This window comes from Homo sapiens, chromosome 11 (genome assembly GCF_000001405.40).
Source record: "Homo sapiens chromosome 11, GRCh38.p14 Primary Assembly".
NCBI classification, from domain to species: Eukaryota; Metazoa; Chordata; class Mammalia; order Primates; family Hominidae; genus Homo; species Homo sapiens.
Genome location: NC_000011.10, coordinates 130130858 through 130154500, shown reverse-complemented (window position 1 = coordinate 130154500; position 23643 = coordinate 130130858). Strand labels below are relative to the sequence as shown.

The 23643-nt window shown below is 46.6% G+C and overlaps 1 protein-coding gene across 39 annotated transcripts in view, besides 3 other annotated features; it reads right to left on the bottom strand.

The window, feature by feature from the left end:
• Window positions 7443-8642: an enhancer, noted in NCBI's record as "P300/CBP strongly-dependent group 1 enhancer chr11:130015754-130016953 (GRCh37/hg19 assembly coordinates)". NCBI's record gives its function as "activates an origin of replication core promoter dependent on BRD2, BRD4, P300/CBP, MED14 and CDK7 cofactors, with strong dependence on P300/CBP, by STARR-seq in HCT116 cells {active_cell/tissue: HCT116}" and the evidence as "EXISTENCE:reporter gene assay evidence [ECO:0000049][PMID:35650434]".
• Window positions 7606-7655: an enhancer, noted in NCBI's record as "active region_5751". NCBI's record gives its function as "activates an Ori minimal core promoter by ATAC-STARR-seq in GM12878 lymphoblastoid cells {active_cell/tissue: GM12878}" and the evidence as "EXISTENCE:reporter gene assay evidence [ECO:0000049][PMID:35858748]".
• Window positions 8713-9007: a silencer, noted in NCBI's record as "tiled region #10235; HepG2 Repressive DNase matched - State 5:Enh". NCBI's record gives its function as "represses a minimal TATA promoter and a strong SV40 promoter by Sharpr-MPRA in HepG2 cells {active_cell/tissue: HepG2}" and the evidence as "EXISTENCE:reporter gene assay evidence [ECO:0000049][PMID:27701403]".
• Window positions 9696-23643, bottom strand: part of APLP2 (amyloid beta precursor like protein 2) — a 74912-nt gene continuing 60964 nt past the window's right edge. For 21 of the 39 annotated variants that reach the window (NR_168391.1, NR_168393.1, NR_168394.1 and 18 more), the window contains 6 exons: window positions 20773-20872; window positions 18786-18938; window positions 14018-14103; window positions 12929-13003; window positions 12427-12582; window positions 9696-11154 (listed from right to left, as the gene is read on the bottom strand). Coding sequence is in view for 30 of the 39 variants with exons in the window: in NM_001382528.1 (NP_001369457.1) it covers window positions 11053-11154; window positions 12427-12582; window positions 12929-13003; window positions 14018-14103; window positions 18786-18938; window positions 20773-20872 (672 nt within the window). In the remaining 9 variants the exon portion in view is untranslated. Of the gene's footprint in view, window positions 11155-12426; window positions 12583-12928; window positions 13004-14017; window positions 14104-17209; window positions 17246-18785; window positions 18939-20772; window positions 20873-23643 lie in introns of all 39 variants that reach the window. The other 18 variants (NR_024516.2, NM_001642.3, NM_001382526.1 and 15 more) reach the window with 5 other exon arrangements.

The window sequence follows — 23643 nt, the reverse complement described above, 5'->3', positions numbered from 1 at the left end:
CAAGCGATTCTCCTGCCTCAGCTTCCCAAGCAGCTGGGATTATAGGTGCCTGCCACCACGCCTGGCTAATTTTGTGTTTTTAGTAGAGACAGGGTTTCTCCATGTTGGTCAGGCTGGTCTCGAACTCCTGACCTCAGGTGATCCACCCACCTCGGCCTCCCAAAGTGCTGGGATTACAGGCGTAAGCCACCGTGCCGGGACTGTTGTCACAAATTTTTTTATTGTTAAATGTGGTGGAAATATAGAAATCAGCATAAAACAAATATACAGCTTACTGGATTATTATAAGGCAACTCCATAGAAGACCAGATGTGAGTCTGGGCGCAGTGGCTCACACCAAAACTACTAAAAACACAAAAAATTAGCTGGGTGTGGTGGCGAGTGCCTGTAATCCCAGCTACTCGGGAGACTGAGGTAGATAATTGCTTGAACCCAGGAGGCGGAGGTTGCAGTGAGCTGAGATCGCACCACTGCAGTCCAGCCTGGGCGACAGAGCGAGACTCCTTCTCAAAAAAAAAAAAGAAAAGAAAAGAAAACAGAAGACCAGATGTGAGAAGAGATAGAACCTTGCCAACCCTCATGCCAAGCCCTCCATGGGCCCATTCCCAAAACAATCCCTCCTCTCCCCAGTAAGAGTGACCACTCTACTGACATGGATGGTGGTTACTTTCTTGGTTTTTTGTTTTGCTTTGTTTGTTTGTTTGTTTTGAGACAGAGTCTTGCTCTGTCACCCAGGCTTGAGTGCAGTGGCGCGATCTCGGCTCACTGCAAGCTCCGCCTCCCAGGTTCACACCATTCTCCTGCCTCAGCCTCCTGAGTAGCTGGGACTACAGGCACCTGCCACCACGCATGGCTAATTTTTTGTATTTTTAGTAGAGACGGGGTTTCACCGTGTTAGCCAGGATGGTCTCGATCTCCTGACCTCGTGATCGGCCCACCTCGGCCTCTCAAAGTGCTGGGTGGGATTACAGGCATGAGCCACCGCACCCGGCTGTTTGTTTGTTTTTTGAGATGGTCTCTCTCTGTTGCCCAGGCTGGAGTGCAATGGCACAGTCACGGGCTCAATGCAGCCTCGACCTCTCAGGCTCAAGCAGTGCTCCCACCTCAGCCTCCAGAGTTACTGGGACCACAGGTGTGCGCCACCACGCCCAGCTAACTTTTTGGGGTTTTTTTTGGCCATCTTGTATAGAAAGATTTTTTTCTCCCTGTGGTAAGGGGTCTGGCCATGTGGCCCAGGCTGGTCTTGAACTCCTGGGCTCAAGCAATCCTCTCGCCTCAGCCTCTCAAAGCGCTGGGATTATAGGTGTGAGCCACCATGCCCATCTCCTTGTTTTTCTTTATATGGTTTTACAATCCAGGCTTGACTCTCTTTGCACCATAGTTTACTTTCTGCCTGCTTTTTGTTTTCAATGTCTTTTAGGTCATTTTAATTTTAATTTTTTTTTTTTTTTTTTTTGCGATGGAGTTTCGCTCTGTCACCCAGGCTGGAGCGCAGTGGTACAACCTCAGCTCACTGCAACCTCCACCTCCCGGGTTCAAGCAATTATCCTGCCTCAGCCTCCCAAGTAGCTGGGATTACATGCGCCCGCCACCATACCTGGCTAATTTTTTGTATTTTTAGTAGAGACGGGATTTCACCATGCTGGCCAGGCTGGTCTCGAACTTCTGACCTCGTGATTCGCCCGCCTAAGCCTCCCAAAGTGCTGGGATTACAGGTGTGAGCCACCGTGACTGGCCAATTTAAATTTAAATTTTATTTTATTTTATTTTATTTTATTTATTTTATTTTGAGATGGAGTTTGGCTCTATCACCCAAGCTGGAGTGCAATGGCACAATCTCAGCTCACTGCAACCTCTGCCCCCTGGGTTCAAGCAATTCTCCTGCCTCAGCCTCCTGAGTAGCTGGTATTACAGGCACATGCCACCACACCTGGCTAATTTTTGTATTTTAGTAGAGATGGGTTTCACTATGTTGGCCAGGCTGGTCTCGAACTCCTGACCTCAAGTGATCCACCCGCTTCAGCCTCCCAAAGTGCTGGGATTACAGGCATGAGCCACCATGCCCAACTGGTCACTTTTAATTTTTAGGTTCCCACTTCATCTTTTTCACCATCCTTTACAGTTTATTTACTGAAGAAACCAGATCATTTGTTCTGGAGACTTTCCTGCAGTCAGGATTTTGCTGATTGTGTTCTCATAGTGTAGTCTATCTCATGGGTTCCTTGTCCTTTGTATTCCCCGCAAACTGTCATATCCAGAGGCGCCAGCAGATAAAGCTTTGCTTTTTCGGGAGGGAAGATGACTTCACAGGGGCTGGTGTGTTCTTCAACAGGTGACGTGTCTGGTTGTTTCATATTGTGAGTTCTGTGCTTGAATTCTAAATTTGTGAGGAAATGGTAACGGCAAGATTTCAATGTTTCATTCCTTGCTTATTTACTTTCTGGAATACTTCTAGAAAGTGAAATTTCTCATCATCTATTTGGTTACCCAGTGGTAAGGTTTGTATAGGAAAGGAAGGATAAATGCCCGAGTCTCTATGTATTTGTTTATTTATTCATTTTCAGATGGAGTCTTGCTCTGTCGCCCAGGTTGGAGTGCAATGGCACTAACTCTGCTCACTGCAACCTCCACTTCCTGGGTTTAAGGGATTCTCCTGCCTTAGCCTCCCGAGTAGCTGGGACAACAGGCACCCACCATCACGCCTGGCTAATTTTTGTATTTTTAGTGGAGACGGGGTTTCACAAACTGCTTTCACAAACCACTTGTTTTTTGCTTGTTTTTGTATTATTATGAACTCTTGGTATCAAACATATTTGATATGTCTGGGTTCATTGCTGTTTTTATTCTTACTGATGTTCAAAGTGTACCCTCTTTGGCCATTGGGACCTTCTTTAAGTCAGCTCTGAGTCCTTTTGACCCAATTCTTGTCATCTTTGATTTTTTGTTTATTTTCTGGTATGATGTTGCAGTTTCAACTTGTACTTTTCCTGCCCACACATGCAATCAGCTGTTTCTTTAAGACAACCTAATAGCTTTTAGTGAAAAGTGATCCTCTAAGGGGATGTTCATTTCTAGCTGGTCTTTGTTTCTGGGGCTTTTGGTAGACAAAGCCAGAACTTTGTGAAAGAGATAAAACACCCATCATGTTCATATTGATTCTCCCAATTCTAATTTAGGACCACAGAGTACTGACTTATTCGAGCTGAGATCTGTATTTTCTTTTTCACACTGATAATTCTTGTTCTCACATCACTTTTTTTAAAAAAAACTCTGTCTCCTTTATCAAATGAAGGCAACAGGTACAACTTTCCCATTAGAGTTCAGTGAGTTGGCCCTTAGTGGAATTTTTGTCAACTTGCAGCTCACGAACAATAGAATAGCTAATTTGAGGGGAAAAAAAGGAAATTATTTTAAAATTGTTAGGCGGTTCACAGAATGTCTAGGAGGGCCAGAGAGCTGAGAGAGGAGGAAACAGAGCCAGAAACAAGGCCCCAGACACACCACAAGGCTGCAGGGACAGCCCCACTGCTCCCGCCCAAGCTGATACCATCAGAGCTCATCCCCTGAGCCCAGACCCACTCACCAGTGCCGCTGCCGTCCCAGGAGCAGGACGCTTCCACCTGCATCCCACCAGAAAGTGGGCTCACTGCAGTGCCTGCGTCCTTTCTTTGTGGCCTCTTGAGTAAGTCTCTTGTGAGTGCATCTCATTAGATCCTAAGTTACATGTCTGTGCCCTACCTACAAGGGAGCTGAGAAGGAGAGTTCTGGTTTCTGCCTGAGGTAGGCAGGACTCAAAAGATGGAAAGTCTCCAAATCTAAGAGGGTTGTTCAAGAGACACTGGAGTGTCCCTAAACTGGGTAAATGCAGATGCACGGAAATGTGAGTCGAGTCTGGGAGTGTGTTCTGGAAATGCATTTCACTGTGGGCCACTTGTTTGATGCTCTGTGTTTCTCTGACTTCCTCTGCCCTGTCCACATCATCAGCACATCCAAGTTCATCCCTCCTTCCATCTAATATGTGTAGTTCTGGCCCAGCCTGCTCCCTGGCCCAGGGTGTCGCGTGGGGTATACACAGGTTTCATTAAAATCAAAGTCCGCTGATTCCCTTGTTTACATTCTGAGCTCAGTCATCAGCTGAAAACATTTACCATCTAAGAAGTCATTCCCCAAACAGTTTCAATTATTAAGACCATGGATTTACATTTACTATTAATAGTGATATTCTTCACTGTAAATGTATGTTGGGTCTTGAGGTATTAACTAATATTATGAGGCCAATGTGATTAATGAGACTTAAACTTTAAATGCCCAGTACATGAAGACAAGCCACTACAATCTCTTCAGTGCTTAAAGTCATGCAATACTCGATTTAGTAATTTACAAAGTTTCATTAAGAAATGATAAATGCACAGCTTGAGATTTCTTCATTAAATGCTAAAAGCAAAAAGCCATAAACCATGGTGGAATCACTTTTTCTTGCCACAGGAAAAGTGGCTGAAATAATACACAGAAGGCTGGGCACAGTGGCTCACGCCTGTAATCCCAGCACTTTGGGAGGCCGAGGCAGACAGATCACGAGGTCAGGAGTTTGAGACCAGCCTGGCCAATATGGTGAAACCCCCGTCTCCACTAAAAATATAAAAATTAGCTAGGCGTGATGGTGGGTGCCTGTTGTCCCAGCTACTCGGGAGGCTGAGGCAGAAGAATTGCTTGAACCTGGGAGGCAGAGGTTGCGGTGAGCCGAGATCGCGCTACTGCACTCCAGCCTGGGCGACAGAGTGAGACTCCGTCTCAAAACAAACAAACAAAAACCACAGAAAAGGATATGGCAACACTATAGTCCATTCTTCTGTCAGTAAATACTGTTAGAAGATACACAGATTTGAAGAAACAAGTAAAAAACCACCTTTAGAGTATGGGAGGTTTGGATGAAAGCACAGATGTTTCTAATGTAGCTCCACTCATAGTGTAATATACGTAGATTTTTCTGCTCACGAAATACAAATATTTTTTTTTCTTGCCAGGAGCAATGGCTCACGCCTGTAGTCCCAGCACTTTGGGAGGTTGAGGCAAGTGGATCACTTGAGATCAGAAGTTTGAGACCAGCCTGGCCAACATGCGGAAACCCCATCTCTACCAAAAGTACAAAAATTAGCCAGGTGTGGTGGTGGGCACCTGTAGTCTCAGCCACGAGGGAGGCTGAGGCAGGAGAATCTCTTGAACCCAGGAGGCGGAGGCTGCAGTGAGCCAGCCTGGGCGACAGAGCGAGACTCCGTCACACACACACACACACACACAGCAGAAAACAAAACTAAACTAAAAGCAGCTTGATTGAGGTATAATTGACTGCACATATTGAAAGTGTCCAATCTGGTAAGTTTTGACACATATCTACACCTGTGAAATTATCACCACAATCAAGAACTCTTTCAGTTTTGATAGCCATTAAATATAGTATTGCAACAAACTGACCTTCGAACCAGATTTTCTAATTGCTTTATTTCAAAGTACTAAAACACGATTACAAAAATAAGATACAGGAGAGCGTAACTCCCATCCCTTAAGTTCGGGCTGCACGTGGTGCAGTGTGACAGTGCGAGGAGGGGAAGATTAACTTTAGACAACCTGACAAGCACCACCTCAGCCAGGGGTCAAGGTCAACATCGACAGCAGTAAGTCATGTTGACAGTGTGTACCCTTGATGGAATAGGAGGACACCTTACCTCTGTGGTCTTCCTCCTAATAACACATAACCCATGCATTACCATGAGAAAAACATCAGACAAAACCCCATAGTGGGACATCCTACGAAATGCCTGACCAATAACTCCTCAAAACTGTCAAGATCATCAAAACAAGGAAAGTCTGAGAAAGCTTCACTGTCCAGAGAAGCCTAAATACAATGTCATTTATTGGGAGAAGACAGAAGACAGGGCTGGGCGCAGTGGCTCACACCTGTAATCCCAGCACTTTGGGAGGCTGAGGCAGGTGGATCACCTGAGGTCAGGACTTTGTAGACCAGCCTGACCAACATGGAGAAACCCCGTCTCTACTAAAAATACAAAATTAGCCAGGCCTGGTGGCGCATGTCTGTAATCCCAGCTACTCGGGAGGCTGAAGCAGGAGAATCGTTTGAACCCGGGAGGCGGAGGTTGTGGTGAGCCGAGATTGCACCATTGCACTCCAGCCTCGGCAACAAGAGCTAAACTCCGTCTCAGAAAAAAAAGAAAAAAAAAATAGAAGACAGTAGGTAAACACTAAGAAAATCTGAATCAACGATATGGACTTCCATTAGGAGAGAGGAAGGAGAGAATGAAAGCAATCACTTTGCCTGCACTAAAACTAGCAATATTTGACTGGACCCAAAAGGCTTTGTACTGTTATTAAATAAAATTTGGAAAAAGTATTTCATCTTTTTTATGCCTTCCAAGTTTCTATTTATAATACATGCAGATAATTTTAAAATAACTATACATAGTTTAAAATAACTGTATATATAGTACACACTATAAATGTTTTATTGATGGAGGGCACTGCTCTAATCGGAAAGAGGCAGGGACTTCAAAATTTTAAGTTCAACCAAGCTGGGCACAGTGGTTTATGCCTTAATCCCAGCACTTGCAAAGCTGAGGTGGGTGGATCACTTGAGGTCAGCAGTTCCAGACCAGCCTGGCCAACATGGTGAAACCTTGTCTCTACTAAAAAACACAAAAATTAGCCAGGTGTGGTGGTGCACGCCTGTAATCCCAGCTACTCTGGAGGCTGAGGCACGAGAATCACTTGAACCCGGGAGGCTGAGGTTGCAGTGAGCCGTCACTGTACTCCAGCCTGGGCAACAGAGCAAGGTTCCGTCTCAAAAAAAAAAAAAAAAAATCAATCAGATCTGGGTTATCTTGTATCTTGGCCACAGATCTCTGACAGATTCCTCAAGAATGTCATGCCCCCAGCCAGGCGCGGTGGCTCACACCTGTAATCCCAGCACTTTGGGATGCCGAGGCGGGCAGATCACAAAGTCAGGAGATTGAGACCATCCTGGCTAATACGGTGAAACTCCATCTCTACTAAAAATACAAAAAATTAGTCAGGTGTCGTGGCACGCGCTTGTAGTCCCAGCTACTCAGGAGGCTGAAGCAGGAGAAATTGCTTGAACCCGGGAGGTGGAGGTTGCAGTGAGCCAAGATTGCGCCACTGCACTCCAGCCTGGGCGACAGAGTGAGACTCTGTCTCAAAAAAAAAAAAAAAAAAGTCATGTCCCATCCATTTCAAGGATTCTGGGGGCCGGGGGCGGGGGAACTCATGTCTCCTGTCACATTCTCTGGGTATCTGGGCTGCTCCACAGTGGAAATGCACTAACCAAGTCCATGGTTGCTACTGCCTGTCAAAAGTATGCAACCACAGAGGGCAGAACAGACACGACTTCCCCTTATTTCATAGGCGGTAACAGGAAAGATACCAGCTGACACCCATTTCCTTGTCTTATAAGGACCGCTTTACCCTTTGCCCCAGAAAAGAGTCCATTGTACATAACCACAGCATTTGGCTCTGCCCCTAACAGCGTGTGACCCTGTGGCCATGTTTCAGCTGTGAAATAATCAGGAGTCATAAGGTCCCTTCCAGTTCCCTGTATCCATTCTGTCTATGTCCATGACTTCAAAGTACCGCAAGACAGCATGTTCCTTTTTTAAATACTTTTTCACCTGCTCCTATGATAGTGGACCCTTGGGCCTCTCCAAAACTTAGGGACTCATTACATCCTCATCTGTACCTCCTAAAGAGCTTTGTCAGTTGTCACAGCAACAGAAACCAGAGATCAGGGCATCTGATGTCCTGGCTCAAACCTCAGCTGCTGAGCTCTGATTTGCAACTGAAAGCAGACAGGCAGGTAGGAGGACCTTCGCACCTGTCAGCACCAGCACCTGAGGCTGGCCGCAAGGTGGGCAGGGCCACATTCCCCAGAGGTCAAGGCTGAGTCACCAAGGCAGAAACCAGGAGCTTCTCTCAGTTCCCGGGAGGTGGGTGAGCCACCAGGGAGCAGAGTGGAGCCTGCCTAGGGTGAGGCCGCCTGGCAGCCCTGCCTCTCATTCATTTCCACGTCATCTCTCAGGCCTCCCCAGTTCTCAGCTAACCCCGACTGTCTCTGCAATGACCCCATTTGGGTAATGAACGTGTAAATAGAAACCACTGCACTTTCACCAGCCCCAAACTCCTCTCTAACCCATCAGCAACAGGAATGTGAGTAACAGGTAAGAGACTCGAGAGCTGAGCAGCTGGATGGGTATTGGCTGCCATGCCCCCGCCCCTGCCTCCCCCAGGACTGAAGTACACTGAATAAAGGAAGAACTCCCACCGAGCTGGGTTTGCATCTCTGCTCCACCCCTTACTGCTCCGTGGAAGACCTCAGCGTCATTTCTGGAAGAGGGGAATGCCTCAAAAGGTTAAGACTAAATGGAGCTGGGCATGGTGGCTCACGCCTGTAATCCCAGCACATTGAGAGGCCGAGGCGAGTGGATCATGAGGTCAGGAGTTCGAGACCAGCCTGGCCAACGTGGTGAAACCCTGTCTCTACCAAAAATACAAAAAAAAATTAGCCAGGCATGGTGGTGCACGCCTGTAGTCCCAGCTACTCGGGAGGCTGAGACAGAATTGCTTGAACCTATGAGGCAGAGGTTGCAGTGAGCTGAGATCGCGCCCCTGCACTCCAGCCTGGGCAACAGACTCTGTCTCAAAAAAAAAGAAAAAAAGACAAAAATGCGCCTCTGACTTGGAGGCAGCTAGTACATGGCAGGCACTAAAATCAATGAAGCTGGTCTGTTAGCTTTGAAATCAGAATGACCCTGAGATCAGTTTCCAGCTGATACTACAGAGGGTCAGGTGATAACACTCTTCAGAGCACTCCAGCAGAAACTGGTTTCAAAAAACAAAAAAGTTCCCTCTTCTTCAGGGCTTTCCTGGCAGCAACTTCAGTGACCAATGCAGGCAGAAGGGAGAGGCTGATGGGGAAGTGGTAATCATTATAAAGAACCAACCTGTTCACCTGGCTCACAAAATGCTTTCCTGGCTCATAAAACACTCCCTAGTCCAGTATCCTAGGGAAGATTCGTCACGTATGTACACACATGTACATCTACACACAGCTATATATGACATTACCTTGATAACTACTCTGTATATTTAAACTGGCATTAAACTAGGGTAGGGACTGAGATTTACCCCTGAATTGACCCTCTTCCCTGTAGCTGGGCATTAAAAAGATCTTAGCTCAGTAGATAAAACTGGGCCCAGGCAGAAAGCCCTCTAAGCAGTTGCCAAGGCAACAAACCAAACACCCCCATCAGTGAGGTGACAGGGCCTCCCAGTGTCAGGTTATTTAAGCAAATGGAAGCTGCAAGCATTCCTCTGAAAATTCAGCCACAAGCCCTACTCATTGTTCCCAGTAGCATTAAGAAGTCTCATATTAATAAATATCAGTAGCCTAAATTTTGCCAGACAAATGCTCTGTGCAGATGTTCCCTCTTACTTTGCTTTCTAAATGCGAAACGGCGCTGGAAGCCTTGAGTCACAGCTTGAGCAGACGTATTTCCGCCTGTGAGGTGCAGCTGGGGTCCTTCGTGGAACGAAGTTATCACCCTCCTGGAGGAAGGGGGTAGGACCATCACGCAGATCAATGCCGCAGTCAGTGAAACGAGCAGTCTCGGTGGAAGTTAAAGTATTTATTGATGTGTTTAAACTGTGTACATTCTCCACAGATCATATTAAGGAGTTTGTAGGTGAAGTTTAATCTGTGCATAGTGGGTAGAGACATGAATAGGGTCAAAGGGGAGGAAAAAGGAAAAAAACAAAACAAAAACAGTCACAGGAAAATAAAAATACACCACAGGTTACCAGAACCTTCAGATTTAAAATAAAAAGAAAGAAAAAGCAGAAGCAGTGAGCATCGACATCAACTGTACAAGCATTACAAAGACTCCTGTGACGAAAACACAATTGTTCAAAGCTTTCCACAGTGTCCACAGACTCAGTTTCAGGGACAGCCTGGACTACTTTCCTTTCACACAAACAAACCTCCCCGTGTTCTCTCCTGGGCCAGCGGCCGCCTCCTTGGTGTGGTCTTCTCTGAGTGAATGTCACAAGGCCGGTGACAGGAGGGGGTGGAGGTGAGGGGACAAAGTAGAGGCCGAGGGTCAGTGCCTTTGGAGAAAGTCCAGAGAGGAGGAGCCTGCACATCTGGACATAGTTGGAAGGGGAAGTGAACGGTAAAAAGCTACGGTAGGTAAACAACAGACAGTGAAGAATGTCAAATATAAGCTACAGGCTAATCTCTGTGGAAGCACTGGATTCCGAAGGAAAGCAGCAGCGGACACCCTCATCTGTATACACTAAGCTCTCTAGAAGACGCTGGAATAAAATGCCTTTAACGTCCTTGGTGACAGGACTTTTATGGAGACACACAGGTATCCAGCCGTGGAAACACTGGACTTCAAGAAACTGGTCCTTTCACATCATTTTGCGAGGGTCTCTCACGTGCTTCAGTGGCCATTACAGTTCCCTATTCCACCCCATTTCTCAGCAACTTCCTGAAAGCTCATTTAAAAAGGGAATACTGCCTTTTTTTTCTTTAAATAAAAGCCAGGACAGTGAATGAGGCTGAAGAGTTGACTTACACAACATAACCGGAACGACAGCCTGCATATAAGTCTATTATTGAAAATCGACATTTCCCATTTATTATATATTGAGAGCATGTGTCAGACAATACAATGGAAGTGGGGTTTCTGATTAATTTAAAAAAGAAAACTACATCAAATATCTGCAATAGATCATTTTTTTCATTTAAGGTTTATATATCATATATTGTTATATTACCATTTTTCACCCATTTAAAAGAATGGAAATTGCAGTTCTACAGTAGTACTTTATATAGTCCTACAGTCCAGGAGGTCAGGATGTCAGACGCAGCCCCTGGCAGCGGCTGCTGCTTGGCAGTCGATCGGAATCGTGGGATCTTCCGGCCCACCTGCATCCCTCCGCCAGGGCTGCCGCGCTCCCTGCCACCTAAATCTGCATCTGCTCCAGGTATTTGTAGGTGGGGTTCTCATAGCCATGGTTCTGCATCTTGTTCAGGTGACGCTCTTCTGGGGTGAGCATTGGATCAACCTGGAAGAACAAAACCTGAGGGTCATTGTGGTGTCTGGGAAGAGACCTGCACAGGGTGCTGGGAGACCTGAGCCATTTGCTGCACAATCCCCTGAGGACCAAATGCAGCCAGCAGCCCGTTCCCACCGGACAGGCCAAATGAGAACCGGTGGTGAAACACAGGAGAAAGAAAATAAGGGGATCAAAGAGGCAATGCTTTCGAAACGAGAGCCCTGAAAGCTTAGCCCTCACGGAAGATGACAGTCAACTGGATTTCCTAGCACCGTGGTGACAAGCAAGGCTCGGCGCCACTGCTTACTACCTGGGCCAGCCAAGGCAAGCCAGTCAGCAGTAGGCTAGCAAGCAGACGGTGGGACCAGGGGATCTCTGGTCTTTTTCAGTTCTGAAATTCTACAGCTAGGCCAGTCTCCAGCAGGAGATAAAACCAAGTAACTGGCCAGGTGCAGTAGCTCATGCTTGTAATCCCAGCACTTTGGGAGGCTGAGGCGGGTGGATCACTTGAGGTCAGGATTTGAGATCACCCTGGTCAATATGGGGAAATCCTATCTCTAATAAAAATACAAAGACTAGCTGGGCGTGGTGGCACACACCTGTAGTCTCAGCTAGGTGGGAGGCTGAGGCACAAGAATCACCTGAACCCGGGAGACAGAGGTTGCAGTGCGCTGAGATCGCGCCACTGCACTCCAGCCTGGGCGACACAGCGAGACTGTCTCCAAAAAACCAAAAAACCAAAACAAACAAAAAAACACAAATAACTAAGACCAGCATCTGCACTAATTTCCCAGGGCTCATTAAGGTCCTTACTGTATTTATATTTGGGGATCAAGGGACTCTGGACATTCCCACTGTTCACTAAGGAGTGAGTGGCAAGACAAGTTCAGTAACCAGCAGAAGACAGAACAGAAACAGTCTGCTTCAGCACTTTCTAAATTTCCTGTTGCTCCTTTCCCCCATTAAAAAAAAAAATACCTGGAAAAAGGAACACTAAGGAAATAATCTGAGAAAAGAGTTTTCACCCTCTGTAGCATAAAATGTTCACATGACTTTCTGACATTCATAGCCAAGGCCCAAACTAATGTTGAAAGTTGGCAACAGCCCCTTGTGGCAGGGGCTGATTTCCAAAAACACGACCTAGGAATCCAGTGAGTAACTGAACTGATAACAGCAGCATGTCCAGTACTCGAGGAGTGAAGATGCCTATTAATTCCACAGGTTCCCACCCCCAACCCAGCCCACAGTGCAGAGCAGGCCCTCAGCAGCCCAGCTCCTCACCTCCACGATCCCGTGGCTGATGGTGCCATACTGCCTCTTCCTCAGCATCACCAGGCTGATGACGATGACCGTGGCAATGGCCACTGCGATGACCAGCAGGCCAATGAGAGCACTGCTACTCAGACTGAAGTCCTCCCGCAGTGGGCCCACGGATTCCTACGTAATAAAGCAGACGTGGAAAAAAGTCCCAGTGACCATCTGGCAGCCGTGAGGCAAGTAACTCACTGAGGGCCACGCTCCTGGAAGGTCGAGCCCCTAAAACCCAAAGTAGCACCAAGATCCTGCTTTGCAGGGAACCACCCACAGGTGGAGAACGCCCACTCTTCCCAATCTCCATGGAGATTTTAATTTTAGCTTTCTTATCCAAAAGTACGGAAAGCTGGGGATGAGGGACCCTTATTAGCTCAGGCATCTCTCCCGTTTTCTACTTGAACTGAGAAGGTCCAGAGGAGAAATACCTAAGATTGGCAGGAAACCTTAGGTTCTGGAGCTAAACACGTACCCGCTCTTCCTCGAGGCCTCCAACTCTCTCGGCATTGAAAATCATTTCCTTAACATCCAGAGTCTCGTCAATGACCTGAAACAGTCATGAGAATGTCGGCAGCAAGCAACTGGGTGAACGGGGAGTTTGGTATTTACTGCCTCCTTCCTCTGCTACCTGCTGCTTGATGGAAGGAAGCAGGTACCTGTGGGACCCCCATTAACCAACCAGTTCTGTCACAGCCTTCCAAATCCACTCCCCAAACCCCTAATGAAGGGGCAGGTATGGAGGGAAGACTATATTATGGCAGCTGGTCCCGTATGCATTTTCCTTCAAGTAACCGTTGTGGAGACGTATCTCAGAACAGACTGCCAAAAAGCCCCGTTTACACCAGGCGCGGTGGCTCACGCCTGTAATCCCAGCACTTTGGGAGGCCGAGGCAGGTGGATCACAAGGTCAGGAGATCGAGACCATCCTGGCTAACACAGTGAAACCTCGTCTCTACTAAAAATACAAAAAATTAGCCAGGCGTGGTGGCGGACGCCTGTAGTCCCAGCTACTTGGGAGGCTGAGGCAGGAGAATGGCGTGAACCCGGGAGGTGGAGCTTGCAGTGAGCAGAGATCATGCCACTGCACTCCAGCCTCGGTGACAAAGCAAGACTCCATTTCAAAAAAAAAAAAAAAGCCACATTGAAATATCAAACTCAGTTGAAGATAATCCAGAACTATAAATGACAGAAAATACTAGGTGAATAAAAGGGGGTATAAACCTAAGGCAGTATAAGAACAAAACCCAACTCTAATCCAAGTTATTAACTCTCTACTCACTTGAAAATGGCCTCTAACAGGTTATTCATATCTTTAGTTGTAAATATATTTTCCTACTCTATAGCAAGAGATGAGCTACTGCTGAAAAGGGCTTTTTAATCCTTTTCATACCCAGATGCTAAACACCACAGCCAGTCTGTGGGAGCCGTTGGAGCCCTCCAACCTTCTACTGTGCGGAAAACGAACACAGAGACGTGCACCTGGAAGCATCTGACATCAGGTCACTCGCTCTAATGAGTCTCAAAAGTAAAGCGTGTTGGGCAGAAGAAAGAACAGGCTCACCATGTTTTCATCCACTTTATTCTTACTGTTAATCACTTTCTCTTCGGCACCGATCAGTCCCCCATCCTGCTCTCCCACTCCAGATCCTGTGTGGAGAGAGATCATGGCTGAGTTCCCAAGGATGGCCCATCTCACACCCATTGCACAGAAGCAGCAAACTCCCTCCTGAGGGCCAGTGAGCCCCTCAACACGCACCTCCCCACGCGACTCATCTGCCACCATGTTCACAAGTCTGAGGGTGCCCTGTGCTCTCTAAAGATGAATGAGACAGGCATTTGCAGAGACCAATGGGTATAATGGAGGAGGAGGGAGTGCTTACTTGTCTCCAACTTGGGAAAATGAAATGCAAGCCTTCAGAGAAAATGTTTATTGTAAGACACATAGAAGCGGAGCCGAGGGGCATCCTAGCATGGGAAATACACACCATCGTAGGAGAAATTACTGAGCACCTACTACCCACACCCGGCTGCCACAGCACCCATCCTCACAATAACCTGCACGTTTGCCTTGGACATAGTAGGTTAGCCCACAGGGAATTCATTCTGCCTCAAATACCCTCCCCAACCTAAACTCTTATTTTCCCTTCAAGTTTCAGTTGGTCCTGGGGAGGTTCCAACAGTAATGACAACAGTCTGTCATTACGGATTTCTTCCCGCATCTCCCACCACGCTGAATCCCTCTGTGCCGAGATCCTAGATGCTCATATCCTAAGTGGCTATTAGAAGATAAACAGGAAGCGTGCATTCCACCTATAGGAAGCATTCTAATATCAGCATGGAAGGCACCTTTCTCTAAACAGAGCAGCAAGAACAGCAACTCTCCTCTCACCAAGGTCAGACACTGCCTGAGCAACATCACTCGAGTGTGGCGCTCCGAAGGATAGTATCCAAATACGCAGCACGACGACGCAGCACAGGCCCAGGGAGGGAACGTGAGAGGAAGTCCTCTATTTTTAGTTCCAAAGCATGTGATTTCTAGCTATCATAAGAATTCCTTATTCATAATAACATACAGTTCAATATAAACGTCTGTGATATGAGCCTTTTATAACTGGATCAACCCGACAGCGTATCTGGCATTCTAAGGTAACTACCTGCAAGTGAGACTTCAACATGAGGACATGCAAAGCACTGCTGTCCCTGGGCTTGTCAAAGGCAGGTAATGGCACAAGGCACAACCACAGCAGAGCTTCTGCCTCACAACTAGACTTGTTCTTAACACATAGCAACTTGTAACAGCTTCCACAGCTGCTGAACATGCAGGCTAGCTCATGCAATGCAGCCAAAAATGATGCAATTTTTCTAAAGCTTCAACTTTAAAGACTTGCACGACTAGATTCTAGTTAAATCAGAGCTAGCTTTTGTCTCAAAGTGCCCATGAAATAGCAATACTGCACTCCAACTATTTGAGAAAGAGGGATCTGGAAGGGTATTGCCTCAGCAAGGATGCTTATGACCAAGCCCAATCAACTGTAATTCTGAGCTCCTTCCATATATATGTTTCTCTCTCCCAGAATTTTAAAGGTCACACAGGCAGGAATTATTCAAAAAGCAATGTGGCACTGAGCAAACTAAAGGTCTACTGTCACTGGATACAGTGGCTCATGCCTATAATCCCAGCATTTTGGGAGGCCAAGGTGGGAGGATCACTTGAGTCCAGGAGTTCGAGACCAGCCTGGGCAACATGGCAAAACCCTGTCTCTACGTTAAAAAAAAAAAAAAAAAAAAAAATTTAGCCGAGGGTGGTGGCATGCACCTGTGGTCCCACCTACTTGGGAGGCTGAGGTAGGAGGACTGCTTGAGCCCCAGAGGAGGAGGCTGCAGTGAGCCAAGACCGCACCACTGCACTCCAGCCTGGGCAACAGCAAGACCCCATCTCAAAAAAAAAAAAAAAAAAAAAAAACCTACCACCAGTCCAGACTGTTATAATAGATTTTTGGTGGTATAGCCCCCACGTTTCTTAACATAAACAAGTGACTTCAAGACACCAAAGTTAATGTTTAAATTGTCCCAACTCATAACAGTTCAGTACAAAAGCAAAAGCCAGTTAAACTTCTAGAAAACTCATCTTTCTCTATAAACATCTCAGTTGTGCTGTTGAAAGGAATGTCGGCACAGTCATCCCCACGAACAGGCATATCCAAGTAGAATAAAATAAAGCATCTACACGAAGTCATTTTCAGAAGATTGAAATCACACTTTTGTGTTCTGAGAATAACCTGTGGCGTAAACCAGAACACCACCTTCTTAGCCGGGCAACACCGTTTGGCCCATCAACAGGAAGTCTGCCAAAGCCAAGGGTGGGCTCATACAACACATTATGAACAAGAAATGTTGAAATGATTCACAATGACTGGGCCACCCACCCACCTGGGGGATCCCGTGACACCGACAACTCAGGTAATGAAATCACATGGGCTTGGGGAACAGAGAACTGGGTTCAAATCCTGGTTCCTCCACTTCTTAGAGCAAGTCACGTCATCTCAGAAACTTCTTCAATTGTCTAATCTAGAAAATAGAGCTAAAAACACTACTCATCCTACAGGGACGTTCAGTGGACTAAGATGGGGACAAGAATGCAAAGCATTCCACATAGTGCTTTACGGAACGTTAACTCTTTTTGAAAACTGGAGACTCAGTACAGTGAGCTGGGTTGTCTCCAGCTGTTTGATCCATTGGCTTCCGATGTTCTGAGGAATATACAACTCAGGGGACATGAGACAACTGGCACAGACAAAGGGCGAGGAGAGCCAAAAAGAAAAGATGTAAATGGGAATTGCAGAGAAAAAGAGGGAAAAGAGAACGACTCTCCACCTGACTGTAAATAAGGCATATTTATACGGAGACAGCAGTTCACAACCAACCTAAGTTGGATATACTTCTAAAAATCTACCCAGATTAAAAGGGTCATGAAATCTATTTTGGTTGCTGTGCATTCTCTGACATCCCAGAGGGAAAGCTTAGCATGACCACGAGGTAACCAACACCATGGAAACTGGCCTCAGAGTGCTGGAGTCAGGTCAGCTTGTCAGCAACATGGAGGTGGGGCTGCTCTGACCCCACTCACAGCCGTGTCAGAAGGAATGAGGTGGGGAAAGCCAGGTGATGGCATGAAACAGAACATGAAGCTTCGGACACACTAGGGAGTGGAGAGGAATGAAGGTCTTAAAGGGAACATCTTGGACAAACCAACCTTTTTTCATTGGGTGGTACAACTCCGGCTGAGTGTCTAGCAGAAAGGAAAACAATAAAAAACAAAATAAAATAGCACAAAAGGAGATTAAAAAAGAAAATGGCTTCTTTTAAAATTTCTATCTTAGAATTTCTCTATAATGTGAACAAAAAGTATTCCTCCTTAAAAACACCCTGCCTGAAATATCCCATAAACAAACCAGCAGTATGAGCCACAGCAAATCACTGGAGGGTATCCTTGATAAGAGAGAAAAAAGTAGGTCTGTCTTGTGCCTTTTTAGGGAAACTGGGAGATGCCTGCACTATTTAGCTTAGCCCACATAATTATTTTTCTTAGAAAAAAGTGAAAATTGAAGTTAAGTGTTGGTTGTGGTTTGCTGACAGGGAGATAAGGTCCTAGTTCAGGTATATCCAAGCTGCCCCGACCCCCAACAAGCACATAAGAAGTTGTCCAAGCATGGCCACCCGACAAACCCACAGAGATTTGGGGATAGCATGGTGCCTCTTCATCTACCACCCCAAAAACCCACGGAGATTTGCGGGTGGCATGGCGCCTTTTCATCTATCTGCCACTTCCTCAGATCCTGTTTTATTTCTGGAGAGTCAACTGCTCTGGGATCGCTAGTTTAGAAAGCATTTCCATTAAGGTCTGAAGGCTAAGCTGGATGTACCTCCATCCCCCCACCCCTAATTTGATGCCTTCCTGAGGCCTCTGTTCCAGTGCTATATCCAGTCAGGTCTGTGACTGCAGGACCAGATCAGCTTGGATTCGACCCCTGACTCTCCACTTATAAGCTACATGACCTCGGGCAAGTTACTTAATCTCTTTATACCTCAGAATCCCCACATGGGGACACTCGACTACCCACCTGCGAGGGTTACTGTGAGGATGGAGAGCATCCGCTGAGATGCTTAGCTAAAGCTGGCATATAACAAGGACTACGGCATAGCTGTGGGCCATTCTTATCATTACCCTGTCAGCAGCAACAGCAACAAACAGAACTGATGAGGGGGACGGCTCTCAGGGCACTGGTCTCAGCAACTTGTTTATTTCTGGAGCAGACTCACAGCTTTTAGAGATCCTCTTAGACACTGAGAACCAGCAGGGGAATAGAGGAAAGAACGTCTGCCTAGGACCCAGAGGAACAGCTTCTTATCCCCACCTCATGTCAGAGATATGACCCACGCCAGCCCTGTCACCTCCTCAGCCTCTCCAGCACCTACCTCCCAAGACGGCTGGGCAAAGGTAACACCATAACAGGAAGGCGCTGTTTCAACTGCCAAGTGCCTCCCCCATGTAAGGAAGTGCACAAGTTGGAAGAAGTGGGGGTTTGAAGCCACCCATCTTGAAATGGGAGAATTAGTCTTAACTTCATGGTGACATTGACACCAATGATTTGAAAGCATCTAGCAGGGTCCTTGCACACAGTAGGCGCTCAATGAATCCAGTCTCCCTTCCCCTGACTCTCGCAGGAACACCATCTCCCAACTCAATTTGGTTTTCGAAAAACTGACTTCAATTCTCTCATTTTGTCCTCCCCCTGCTGCCCAGAAGTGGCACCGTCGCCCATACACACCTTCGTTCTCAGGTAGGGCTGGGAAGGGGTGGAAGGGGTGGAACGGTGGGATCTCCTCACTCTCCTCAGAGCTCACCCGGACGTCCACAGGGGTCTCTGAGATTGAGGCAGTGAACTGGTCCATATCTGCACGCTGCTCCTGAAGGAGCTCATCTGATGAAGACAGGGCAGGGGACAGAAAGCAGGCTTCAGAAGGGCCTGGTGTCCAGGCACAGGATGCTCTAGAGCTCCAAGACCCCACTGTGGCTCCCAGTTCCTGCCTGAAACACCTTCCTTGATTCTGTGGCACCACAGAGCCCCAACACCAGGGACCCCAGGGCGCCGTCCCAGGCACCCCTGCATCCACCTCCACACTCCAGTTAAGTGGTATCCACAACTCCACAGATTTTGGGGGTTTAAAAAATTGTACATATTTAAGGTCTAAAATATAATGCTTTGATATACATATACACCATGAAATGATTTCCATAGTCAAGCAAACACACACATCACCTTCCAGAATTACTTTTTTTTAAAAATAAGAATACCTCAAATCTACTCTCGGCAAATTTTTAGTATATAGTACGATATTACTAACTACAGTCCTCATGCTGTCCATCCCATCTCTAGACGTATCCACCCCACGTAACTACAACTACCACTTCATACCCTCTGACCTACTTCTCCCCGACGCCAGTTTTAAATACTGACCATATACCATGACTCCCAGGCCCGAATCCTGGACCTACTGCCTGACCTCTGCCTCACCTAAATCCTACATCCCCACATAACATCCAACAGAAATTTCTATCTTAACATGTATCAAGAGAGCTCCGGATTTCCTTCTCCACCTCAGTCAGCCATGGTACCACCATCCCCGAGCTGCTCCCAGTGGAACCCTAAGTGCACTTCTTGATGCCGCTCCCCCAACCCCACACGCAGCCCTGGGCGCAGCCCCACACACTCCCACCAGAACACATCCTACAGACCATCCCCAGCTGTCCCTGGGGTGCTCCTTCTCCTACCCCGTCACCCCTTCAGTGCATACTCCCAACAGCTCTCTCCTGAATTTCTAAAATCGCTTCCTGGCTGGTTTCTAATTTTAATCGACTACACACAGCAGCCAAGTGAGCTTTTAAAAATTCATAATCCAGATCTAGTCTTTCCCTAGCTGAAAATCCTCTAACGGCTTCCCATTATCCTAGAATAAAATCCAAACTCCTTGATTTTGCTGAAATTTCTTCCTCATCTGGTCCCTGCATACTTTGGCCACATCCCCTTTGCTATGTTGTAGCCACACTGATCTACTCAAATGTGATGCCTGACTTCCACCTGGGGCCTTTGTAGCTGCCGCTCCCTCTGCTACCAACGTGCTCTCCCGCTGTGATCTTACCATTCGGATCTCAGGCCACCGTCCCCAGAGGCAGCCGCCCCGACTGGCCACTCTCTAGCACTCTGCCCGAGTTTTCACACTGCACAGCACCTATCACCAGCTGACACTTATTTTCTTGTTTTACTATCTGTTTTTCTCTTATCAACACATCAACTCCAGCAGGTACCATCTGCTCGTGGACCATTTTACTCTGTGACACGCACGCAGCAGCCATAATAAAACTTGTTGAATAAATGAAGAAGATAAAGACCGGGAGAGGAGGAGGTGAGAATTTATATAAAATCAGGTGCTTGAAATAATCAGAACGAAGGAGGAAAACGGGAACAGGAAACTCGTAGTCTCTTGCAATTTCACACCCCAGATATTCTTCCGCTAACAGAGTGAAGGTCAGTGAAGCCCGAGGCTCCATGGCTCACAGCCAGTGCACCTGTCCTTGGTTCCTCCTTCACCTTGCCATGAAAGCTCCAGTGGACTCCAGGCTTCTGAAGCCAGGATGTGCTAATGCCCCACTTCACCGGCCTTGCTTGCTCATCTCTCTCTACTCTTGCCCAGCTTTCACTCCTGAGCCTCTGCAAGAAGTCCCGTATGACCTTGACACAAAGAGCTGGTACCCACCAATTTCCTCTTGAATTTCTTGGGCTACATAAGGTACTTTGTAGAGCAGAGAGAGGCTTTGGTTCCTCCTTTCTTCAATCACGTGGAGATGTGTCATCACCTGGAAGCAGAGTTATGGTGGAGAGGTGTTGTGACTGAAAACAACTAGGCCAGGAGGGAACTTGCAGCTGGAACATCGACACAACTTCTGGAAAAACCACTTTACAAAGCATATTCTCTACAGAGTCTAGCAAAGCAACTGGTCAGGGGAAATGTATTAATCCTCACGCCATATTTACTGACTGCTAAAGTATAAGAACGTGTTCAGCCTGGGCGTGGTGGCTCACACCTGTAATTCCAGCACTTTGGGAGGGTGAGACAGCAGGATCACTTGAGCGAAGGAGTTTGAGACCAGCCTGGTCAACATGATGAAACCCTGTCTCCACCAAAAATACAAAAATTAGCCAGGCATAGTACTGTGTGCCTGCAGTCACGGCTACCTGGGAGGCTAAGGCTGGAGGATCACTGGAGCCCAGGAGGTTTAGGCTACAGTGAGCTATGACTGTGCTACTGCACTCCAACCTAGGCAACAGAGCAAGATCCTGTCTTAAAAAAAAAAAAAAAGACTGTATAATTCCCCCAGCTGACATGAGAATTTATCTGGAAAGTGCTCCAAATTAAGAGACAATTTATTTAAAAATGGCCACTAGCTACTGGATTTTCATACAAGGCACTTACTACTAATTATATTGAGCCAAAAAAAAAAAAAAGAACTCTAATTTGTACAATGCCGAATGTTCAGTAAGGTTTTGCTGAGTGAAAGAAGAGTCAGTTGATTTCTACCACTGGTCAGATTAGATGGGATTAAAAAAGACTGAAATTACTGGCTGAAAAGCAGACTTGGCAACAGAGGGAACCATTATGGATTTTGCTTAGTGAAGCAATTGCTTAAATGATTATTGTGGTAAATAAAGAATTAGTTTATTCCTATTTAACTAAATTGCTATTTTTTGAAAAACTCATGCTGAGGTATAAATAAACCTGATTTTAAGGGGGTGATAAAGGAAGACTCATCTACCGTAGCTCACTGCCTTTTCTGAATGCAAAAGTTCTAAGGTTATTCATTATTTAAAAAAAAAAAAAAAGGCCATTAGAAGTGGTCACTATTTTTACAGTTTTCCAGGATGGAAGTGAAAGGTGACGGGCTAGCATCCACCCCAATGACACGGCGAGGTGTGTTGCTGTAGCTCCCACAAGCTTTTCAAGCTAAGTCATCCCCGCCTGGTTAGACCTGCAATTACCAAGCTTTTCCTAAAGAGGGTGCTGGAAACCAGTGGATTAATTATGTGGGCCTGAAGCCATTAACATGAAGGATCAAAATGAAAAAAAAAGCTAAATGGAAAGATGCTTTTATTGTAGACTGACATCTCTCTGACCTTTCAAAGCAAGGATGAAAGCAATTTAATTTTATATTTGCCATTCTGTCAATCAAGGAAAGCACAAGAGTGAGTGCCTTGAAGAAAAAATGCAAATGAAGCCAAAATGCAACACCCACGGGTTCAGCAAGTGTTGTCCTGCTACACCTCCCAGAGGAACCGGGAGCCGTGTGAGACAGGAAGGTTCATACACTCACAGAGGACAAGAACCACAGAGCGGGAGACTGCAAATTAGTGTCTCTACAGCAAACCATTGGCTATAGTATGGGGGTAAAAGCACCATCTCACTCATATCCAGACAAGCAGACATGGCACAAGTTACAACAGGCTGAATATCTGCAAATTTTTCTGGTGTTTAGATAACAGAATAGGGAACAAGGCAGAAGGTAAGCTTTGCCAGAATTAAAGCTAAGAGCAGGTAGTAAGTAGCAGACAGGAGAGCTGGGTTTTCTCCCCAAAGGTGTTTAAATGGGAGCATTCTACTTCCCACATTACTTGGTGTGGAAGCTTGATCTCACTTGCAGGAATTCTCTATTAATTTAATATACTGATCAAAATCTCTCCTTCCCTTCTACTCTCACACAAAACTGGCTAGAATACAACACGATAATTTAATTTTAAACCAGAAAGTTTGGAAAGTGATTAAGTCTTTTCAAAAAATCAAGTAGACCCCAAGAGCCTAGGCCCTGTCAAGATGCATGCGTTTTCCATCCAGGCCTCTTGGACTTTCTCCTCTTCTGCTACATCCAGCGTGAAGCAAAGTCCTGAGCTCCAGGCCCACACCAGATGCCCCTTAGGGTCTCCAACCCAGCCCCTTTCCACGTTCTTCCCACTCTTTAGAAGCCTGAGTTCTTTTATTCCCCAAAACAACCAGCTTCTGAAGTGAACTCTGTATATCTAAGAACACCTGCTCTAGGCTGGGAGTGGTGGCTCACACCTGTAATCCTAGAACTTTGGGAGGCAGAGGTGGGCGGATTACCTGAGGCCAGGAGCCCAAGACCAGCCTGGCCAATATGGTGAAACCCCGTCTCTACTGAAACTACAAAACTTAACCAGGTACTGTGGTGGGCACCTGTAATCCCAGCTACTTGGGAGGCTGAAGCAAGAGAATCATTTGAACCCGGGAGGCAGAAGTTGCAGTGAGCTGAGATGGTGCCATTGCAACCCAGCCTGAGTGACAGAGTGGGACTCCATCTCAAACAAACAGACAAAAAAACACCTGCTCTTCACCTTTACAGTTATTATCTCTACACTAGCGTGTGAGCTGCTCAAGGGCACTCAAGGGAGTCAACCCGGCAGCACTGAATGCCAGTGTGGAGTCTGGCACTGAGACAGACCCCCAGCTCCACAAATGGAGCAGCTCAGCTCCAATACTCCAAAGGCCTTTAGGCCTTTAGGCACATTACCTTTTCATCTTCACACTCATAGCAGCTGTGGGGAAGGAGGGTTTCTGGGC